This window comes from Homo sapiens, chromosome 6 (assembly GCF_000001405.40).
Source record: "Homo sapiens chromosome 6, GRCh38.p14 Primary Assembly".
NCBI lineage: Eukaryota > Metazoa > Chordata > Mammalia > Primates > Hominidae > Homo > Homo sapiens.
The window spans coordinates 120,460,770-120,469,775 of record NC_000006.12 but is presented as its reverse complement, the minus strand read 5'-3'; the positions used below and the strand labels follow the sequence as shown (position 1 = coordinate 120,469,775).

Below are 9,006 nucleotides of genomic sequence, written 5' to 3'. Positions count from 1 at the left end.
GAGAGATTTTAAAAGTCTTATAAAAATTTGACTTTTTTTTTTGAGATAGGGTCTCACTCTGTTCCCTCCTGGGCTGGAGTACAGTGGTGTGATCATGGCTCACTGCAGCCTTGACCTCCCTGGTTCAAGAGATTTTCCCACTTCAGCCTCCCAAGTAGCTGAGACTACTAGCGCGCACCACACTGCCTGGCTATATTTTGTAGAAATGGGATTTCACCATGTTTCCAAGGCTAGACTCAAACTTCTAGGGTCAGGAAATCCTCCAGCCTCAGACTCTCAAAGGGCTGGGATTACAGGTGTGAGCCACCATGTGTGGATAAAAAGATTGCTTTGGAGCTGGTTCTTGAAGAATGATAAGGCAACACAAGAAATTTTCCAGCAGGGATAGTTCCAAGAAAGACAATGATATTTTCAGGACTTGTAAAGTATTGATATACGCAAATAATTTTGCAGTTGCATAAATCAGGATTAGCAATAGGTTGCTTGCAAAAAGATCTTTTGTTACATATTTGCATAAATAATAATCGTATAAGCAATTTGTTCTAGTTTATTTTTCCAGTGATAATTGGAGTCAGTACATAATGGAGGTTGTTTAATGGCCATTTGGAGCCTTGCAGATGGAAGAAATTAAACACAAAACAAGGACATGTTTAGTTTTGTTGTCTAATTTAATCTTCATTTCCAGGTATTATTATGACTTATTTGGCAAATGAAGTGATAAATAGCTTGATTAATAGACTAGTCATTTAACTTGATTTTCCTTTTTGTGGTTTCTATTTGTTTCTCTACGTGGCCACAGGTGCATTTAGTTTATTTTTTTAGCTACTTTTTATAAGGAGCATAACACAGAAGGATAACAAAGTTTTTCAGTGAAATTCTGTGTATATGTATAGATATGAGGTGCAAAACATTGTTGATCATCTTGCTGAGACTGTCTATCCCAAGGCTATACTTTGCTTGATCAAGAATTTTAAGTAAGCCCAGCTATAAATACACCAATGAAGTAACATAGAGTTCAAGTATTGCTTGAATGGAAAACTCTTCATCAATAGAGCAATTTATTAGTAAATGTCAGCTTTTGTCTCTCTCTTTGATTCTTGACAGACATTCTGACAGCATTTAGAATAACAAAAGAACAGATATGCTTTACATGACTATGTCATTAGACCGGGAGGAAGAATCAATTTAAATAAGAAACTTTAAATATAAAAGCTATATTCACAACCATGAGTGAGGAGATTTAAAGAATCCCAGGGGTTATCTTGTCAAATCTCCTTATTTTACAGATGAGAAAAGTAAAGTTCAAGGCTTTAAATGATTTCAACTGGGTAAATCACCCTGAACTTCCAGTCCAGCACTGTTTCAATTGCATCAATCTGCTTCCGCATTCGATTATAAACTATCTATCTTCCATAATTTAAAATAGCACCATTTGAAAATGCACATTCTAATTTGAAATATAATGTAAGTCCACAGAAATGCTACAACAGTGTTCTTTGAGTCTATGACATTAAATCATCTAATAAGAATAAACCAAATTTTGACCATCAGTCATCACTACCTTTGAATCAGATCAAAGGCAGTTCTGCTTTACAGTAACAAAATAATTCTTAGGTTTATCTTAGGATAAATCATTATATAGTGTCAGGCCTCTGAGCCCAAGCCAAGCCATCGCATCCCCTGTGACTTGCATGTATACGCCCAGATGGCCTGAAGTAACTGAAGAATCATAAAAGAAGTGAATATGCCCTGCCCCACCTTAGCTGATGACATTCCACCACAAAAGAAGTGTAAATGGCCGGTCCTTGCCTTAAGTGATGACATTACCTTGTGAAAGTCCTTTTCCTGGCTCATCCTGGCTCGAAAAGCACCCCCACTGAGCACCTTGCGACCCCCACTCCTGCCCGCCAGAGGACAAACCCCCTTTGACTGTAATTTTCATTTACCTACCCAAATCCTATAAAATGGCCCCACCCTTATCTCCCTTCGCGGACTCTCTTTTCGGACTCAGCCCGCCTGCACCCAGGTGAAATAAACAGCCATGTTGCTCACACAAAGCCTGTTTGGTGGTCTCTTCACACAGACGCGCATGAAATTTGGTGCCGTGACTCAGATCGGGGGACCTCCCTTGGGAGATCAATCCCCTGTACTCCTGTTCTTTGCTCCGTAAGAAAGATCCACCTACAACCTCAGGTCCTCAGACCGACCAGCCCAAGGAACATCTCACCAATTTTAAATCAGGTAAGTGGCCTCTTCTTACTCTCTTCTCCAACCTCTCTCACTGTCCCTCAACCACTTTCTCCTTTCCACTCTTCAATCTCTCCCTTCTCTTAGTTTCAATTCCTTTCATTTTCTGGGAGAGACAAAGGAGACATGTTTTATCCGTGGACCCAAAACTCCAGCGCCGGTCACGGACTGGGAAGGCAGCCTTCCCTTGGTGTTTAATCATTGCAGGGACACCTCTCTGATTATACACCCACGTTTCAAGGGTGTCAGACTGCGCAGGGATGCTTGCCTTGGTCCTTCACCCTTAGTAGCAAGTCCCGCTTTTCTGGGGAAGGGGCAAGTACCTCAACCCCTTCTCTCCTTGTCTCTACCCCTTCTCTGCTTTTCTGGGAGAGGGGAAAGTACCCCTCAACCCCTTCTCCTTCACCCTTAGCAGCAAGTCCCACTTTTCTACGGGGCAAGAACCCCCAATCCCTTATGTCCATGCCCCAACCTCTTATCTCTGTGCCCCAATCCCTTATTTCTGCACCCCAACCTCTTATCTCTGTGCCCCAATCCCTTATTTCCGCACCCCAACCTCTTATCTCTGTGCCCCAATCCCTTTTGTCCATGCCCCAACCTCTTATCTCTGCGCCCCATCCCTTATTTCCACACCCCAACCTCTTATCTCTGTGCCCCAATCCCTTATTTCCGCACCCCAACCTCTTATCTCTGTGCCCCAACCCCTTTTCCCACTTTTCTGGAAGGTAAGAACCCCTGAACCCCTTCCCTCCGTTTCTCTACTCTCTCTTTTCTCTAGGCTTGCTTCCTTCACTATGGGCAACTTTCCACCCTCCATTCCTCCTTCTACTCCCTTGGCCTGTGTTCTCAAAAAACTTAAAACCTCTTCAACTCACACCTGACCTAAAACCTAAATGCCTTATTTTCTTCTGCAATGCTGCTCGACCACAGTACAAACTCAACAGTAGTTCCACATAGCCAGAAAATGGAACTTTGAATTTTTCCATCCTGCAAAATCTAAATAATTCTTGTCGTAAAATAGGCAACCGGTCTGAGGTGCCTGATGTCCAGGCATTCTTTTACACATCGGTCCCTTCCTTGTCTCTGTGCCCAGTGCAACTCGTCCCAAATCTTCCTTCTTTCCCTCCCGCCTGTCCCCTCAGTCCCAAGCCCAAGCGTCACTGAGTCTTTCTAATATTCCTTTTCTACAGACCCATCTGACCTCTCCCCTCCTCGCCAGGCCAAGCTAGGTCCCAATTCTTCCTCAGCCTCCGCTCCTCCACCCTGTTATCTTTTTATCACCTCCTCTCCTCACACCTGGTCTGGCTTACAGTTTCATTCTGTGACTAGCCCTCACCCACCTGCCCAGGAATTTACTCTTAAAAAGGTGGCTGGAGCTAAAGGCATAGTCAAGGTTAATGCTCCTTTTTCTTTATCCCAAATCAGATAGCGTTTAGGCTCTTTTTCATCAAATATAAAAACCCAGCCCAGTTCATGGCTCGTTCCGTAGCAACCCTGAGACGTTTTACAGCCCTAGACCCTAAAAGGTCAAAAGGCCGTCTTATTCTCAATATACATTTTATTACCCAATCTGCTCCCGACATTAAATAAAACTCCAAAAATTAAATTCCGGCCCTCAAACCCCACAACAGGATTTAATTAACCTCGCCTTCAAGGTGTACAATAATAGAAACAAGTTGCAATTCCTTGCCTCCACTGTGAGACAAACCCCAGCCACATCTCCAGCACACAAGAACTTCCAAACGCCTGAACCACAGCAGCCAGGCGTTCCTCCAGAACCTCCTCCCCCAGGAGCTTGCTACACATGCTGGAAATCTGGCCACTGGGCCAAGGAATGCCTGCAGCCCGGGATTCCTCCTAAGCCACGTCCCATCTGTGTGGGACCCCACTGAAAATCGGACTGTTCAACTCACCTGGCAGCCACTCCCAGAGCCCCTGGAACTCTGGCCCAAGGCTCTCTGACTGACTCCTTCTCGGCTTAGTGGCTGAAGACTGACGCTGCCCGATCACCTCAGAAGCCCCGTAGACCATCACGGACGTGACGCTGAGTTTTGGGTAACTCTCACAGTGGAAGGTAAGTCCATCCCGTTCTTAATCAATACGGAGGCTACCCACTCCACATTACCTTCTTTTCAAGGGCCTGTTTCCCTTGCCTCCATAACTGTTGTGGGTATTGATGGCCAGGCTTCTAAACCTCTTAAAACTCCCCAACTTAGACAATACTCTTTTAAGCACTCCTTTTTAGTTATCCCCACCTGCCCAGTTCCCTTATTAGGCTGAGACACTTTAACTAAATTATCTGCTTCCCTGACTATTCCTGGACTACAGCGATATCTCATTGCCTCCCTTCTTCCCAATCCAAAGCCTCCTTTGTGTCCCCCTCTTGTATTCCCCCACCTTAACCCACAAGTATAAGATACCTCTACTCCCTGCTTGGCGACCGATCATGCACCCCTTGCCATCTCATTAAAACCTAATCACCCTTACCCCACTCAACGCCAATATCCCATCCCGCAGCATGCTTTAAAAAGATTAAAGCCTGTTATCACTCGCCTGCTACAGCGTGGCCTTTTAAAGCCTATAAACTCTCCTTACAATTCCCCCATTTTACCTGTCCTAAAACCAGACAAGCCTTACAAGTTAGTTCAGGATCTGTGCCTTATCAACCAAATTGTTTTGCCTATCCACCCCGTGGTGCCAAACCCATATACTCTCCTATCCTCAATACCTGCCTCTATAACCCATTATTCTGTTCTAGATCTCAAACATGCTTTCTTTACTATTCCTTTGCACCCTTAATACCAGCCTCTCTTCACTTTCACTTGGACTGACCCTGTAACCCATCAAGCTCAGCAAATTACCTAGGCTGTACTGCTGCAAAGCTTCACAGACAGCCCCCATTACTTCAATAAAGCCCAAATTTCTTCCTCATCTGTTACCTATCTCGGCATAATTCTCATAAAAACACACGTGCTCTCCCTGCCAATCGTGTCCGACTGATCTCTCAAACCCCAGCACCTTCTACAAAACAACAACTCCTTTCCTTCCTAGGCATGGTTAGTATGGTCAGAATTCTTACACAAGAGCCAGGACCACACCCTGTAGCCTTTCTGTCCAAACAACTTGACCTTACTGTTTTAGCCTAGCCCTCATGTCTGCGTGCAGCGGCTGCCGCTGCATTAATACTTTTAGAGGCCCTCAAAATCACAAACTATGCTCAACTCACTCCCTACATTTCTCATAACTTTCAAAATCTATTTTCTTCCTCATACCTGATGCATATACTTTCTGCTTCCCGGCTCCTTCAGCTATACTCACTCTTTGTTGAGTCTCCCACAATTACCGTTGTTCCTGGCCCAGACTTCAATCTGGCCTCCCACATTATTCCTGGTACCACACCTGATCCCCATGACTGTATCTCTCGGATCCACCTGACATTCACCCCATTTCCCCAAATTTCCTTCTTTCCTGTTCCTCACCCTGATCACGCTTGATTTATTGATGGCAGTTCCACCAGACCTAATCGCCACACACCAGCAAAGGCAGGTTATGCTATAGTACAAGCCACTAGCCCGCCTCTTAGAACCTCTCATTTCCTTTCCATCGTGGAAATCTATCCTCAAGGAAATAACTTCTCAGTGTTCCATCTGCTATTCTACTACTCCTCAGGGATTATTCAGGCCCCCTCCCTTCCCTACACATCAAGCTCGAGGATTTGCCCCACCCAGGACTGGCAAATTAGCTTTACTCAACATGCCCTGAGTCAGATAACTAAAATACCTCTTAGTCTAGGTAGATACTTTCACTGGATAGGTAGAGGCCTTTCCTACAGGGTCTGAGAAGGCCACCACAGTCATTTCTTCCCTTCTGTCAGACATAATTCCTCAGTTTAGCCTTCCCACCTCAATACAGTCTGATAACAGACGAGCCTTTATTAGTCAAATCAGCCAGCAGTTTTTCAGGCTCTTAGTATTCAGTGAAACCTTTATATCCCTTACGGTCCTCCGTCTTCAAGAAAAGTAGAATAGACTAAAGGTCTTTTAAAAACACACCTCACCAAGCTCAGCCACCAACCTAAAAAGGACTGGACAATACTTTTACCACTTTCCCTTCTCAGAAGTCAGACCTGTCCTCAGAATGCTACAAGGTACAGCCCATTTAAGCTCCTATATAGACGCTCCTTTTTATTGGGCCCCAGTCTCATTCCAGACACCAGACCAAGTTAGACTGTGCCCCCAAAAAACTTGTCATCCCTACTATCTTCTGTCTAGTCATACTCCTATTCACCGTTCTCAACTACTCATACATGCCCTGCTCTTGTTTACACTGCCGGTTTACATTGTTTTTCCAAGCCATCACAGCTGATATCTCCTGGTGCTATCCCCAAACTGCCACTCTTAACTCTTGAAGTAAATAAATAATCTTTCCTGGCAGGACTATGCCGAATCTCCTTAAGCACTCTCTAATCAGATATCCTGAGTCGTCCCAATTCTTAGACCTTTTATACCTGTTTTTCTCCTTCCATTATTACATTTAGTTTCTCAATTCATCCAAAACCATATCCAGGCCATCACCAATCATTCTATACGACAAATGTTTCTTCTAACATCCCCACAGAATCACCCCTTACCACAAGACCTCCCTTCAGCTTAATCTCTCCCACTCTAGGTTTCCACGCCGCCCCAATCCCGCTTGAAGCAGCCCTGAGAAACATCGCCCATTCTCTCTCCATACCACCCCCCAAAAATTTTCGCCGCCCCAACACTTCAACACTATTTTGTTTTATTTTTCTTATTAATATAAGAAGGCAGGAATGTCAGGCCTCTGAGCCCAAGCCAAGCCATCGCATCCCCTGTGACTTGCACGTATAGGCCCAGATGGCCTGAAGTAACTGACGCATATACTTTCTGCTTCCCGGCTCCTTCAGCTATACTCACTCTTTGTTGAGTCTCCCACAATTACCGTTGTTCCTGGCCCAGACTTCAATCCAGCCTCCCACATTATTCCTGGTACCACACCTGAAAATAATAGTAATAAAAATCCAGAGTAGGTAAGAAAATATTTAAACATCATATATTAGAAAAAGAACTTTTTTCTAAAATATATAAGGCAATCTCACAAATCAATAATGAGAGCAACCAATTAAAACTGAGCAAAAGTTTAAATAGACATTTCTCCAAAGAAACATGAATAGCCAACATTCACATCTAAGAATGCTCAATATTATTAGTCATTAGGAAAATGCAAATCAACACAATAGTGAGAAACCATTTTACAGCCACTGGGATGACAGTGATTAAAAAAGATTCATAATAAGGACTGTTGGTGAGGATGTGGAGAAATTGGAATCCTCACATATTGCAGGTGGTAATGTAAAGTGATACCATCACTTTAGAAAACAATTTGGCAGATGCACAAAATGTTAAACAGAGAATTACCACATAACACAACCATTCCTCTCCTAAGAATTTCTTTCCAAGATAAAGAAAAATATATGTCAACATTAGAAAGTGGCTACAAATGTTCATAATAGCTTTATTCATAATAGCCAAAAAGTAGAAACAACACAAATGTCCATTAACTGAGGAATGGATGACCAAATGTGGGTTAATTTACATGGCAGTTTGGGTAGGTACTGGGGCCCAGTTATTTAGTCAAACACTGGTCTAGATGTGTCTGTGAAAGTTATTTTGTACATGTAATTAACATTTTTGATCAGTTGATTTTAAATAAAGCAGATGAGTGTCCATAATTTTGGTAGGCCTCATCCAATCACTTGAAGGTCTTAATAATAAAAACAGAGGTAGAATCCCATATATCTCTATATACTCCATATCCATATTTATATAGAGATAGCCTATTGATTCTGTTTCTCTGTTCACTGAATAATCCCATCTGATACACATTCCATGGAGTATTATTTGAAAATATAAAGAATAAAGTACTGGTTGATGATTTTTTTATCCAAAATGCTTGGGACCAGAAGTGTTTTGAATTCCTTTTTTTAAAATTTTTGGAATATTTGCATATAAAGAATGACATATCTTGGGAATGTGTCACAAATCTAAACACAAAATTTCATAAACACCTTATACACAACATTTGAAGGTAACTGTATACAATATGTTAAGTAATTTTGTCCATTCAAATTTTGAAACAAAGTTTGTATACATTGAACTATCAAAAAGTAAATGTGTCACTATCTCCTGTTGGTGCTCAAAAAATTTCTGATTTTAGAGCACTTCAGATCTTTGATTTTTGAAGTAGAGATGCTCAACCTATAACTGATAAGCAATAGGTTATCACTCTGAACATGAATGCCCTTTGAAAACATTATGCTAAGAAAAAGTAGCTAGTTACTAAAAATCACATATTTTATAATACTTAAGATGATATTTAAAAGTGGGGAAGGTAAAATGACCTAAACTCCCAAACTGAAGTAAAATTTTCATACTATACTAGAAGTGATAAAATGTTGAAAACAATAGACTATGATGTCACATACATATATAATAATATCTACAGCAAACACTATGAAAATTATGGAAAAATACACTTGAAAACACTATAAATAAGTCAAAATGAGATCTAAAAAATGTTTAAGTAACAAACATGATGTCAGGAAAAAAGAAAAAGAGAAGAGAGTACCAGAAGAAATAAGCAGTAAACAAACAAAGTAGCCGGGCACGGTGGCTCAAGCCTGTAATCCCAGCATTTTGGGAGGCCAAGGCGGGTGGATCACCTGAGTTTGGGAATTCG

General features: G+C 42.1%; 3 annotated features.

Annotated features, from left to right (window-relative positions):
- Positions 1,510–2,057: an enhancer, noted in NCBI's record as "OCT4-NANOG-H3K27ac hESC enhancer chr6:120788865-120789412 (GRCh37/hg19 assembly coordinates)". NCBI's record gives its function as "activates a minimal SCP1, AML or CMV promoter by ChIP-STARR-seq in naive H9 embryonic stem cells {active_cell/tissue: H9 hESC(naive)}" and the evidence as "EXISTENCE:reporter gene assay evidence [ECO:0000049][PMID:30033119]".
- Positions 5,315–5,815: an enhancer, noted in NCBI's record as "H3K27ac hESC enhancer chr6:120785107-120785607 (GRCh37/hg19 assembly coordinates)". NCBI's record gives its function as "activates a minimal SCP1, AML or CMV promoter by ChIP-STARR-seq in primed H9 embryonic stem cells {active_cell/tissue: H9 hESC(primed)}" and the evidence as "EXISTENCE:reporter gene assay evidence [ECO:0000049][PMID:30033119]".
- Positions 5,816–6,316: an enhancer, noted in NCBI's record as "H3K27ac hESC enhancer chr6:120784606-120785106 (GRCh37/hg19 assembly coordinates)". NCBI's record gives its function as "activates a minimal SCP1, AML or CMV promoter by ChIP-STARR-seq in primed H9 embryonic stem cells {active_cell/tissue: H9 hESC(primed)}" and the evidence as "EXISTENCE:reporter gene assay evidence [ECO:0000049][PMID:30033119]".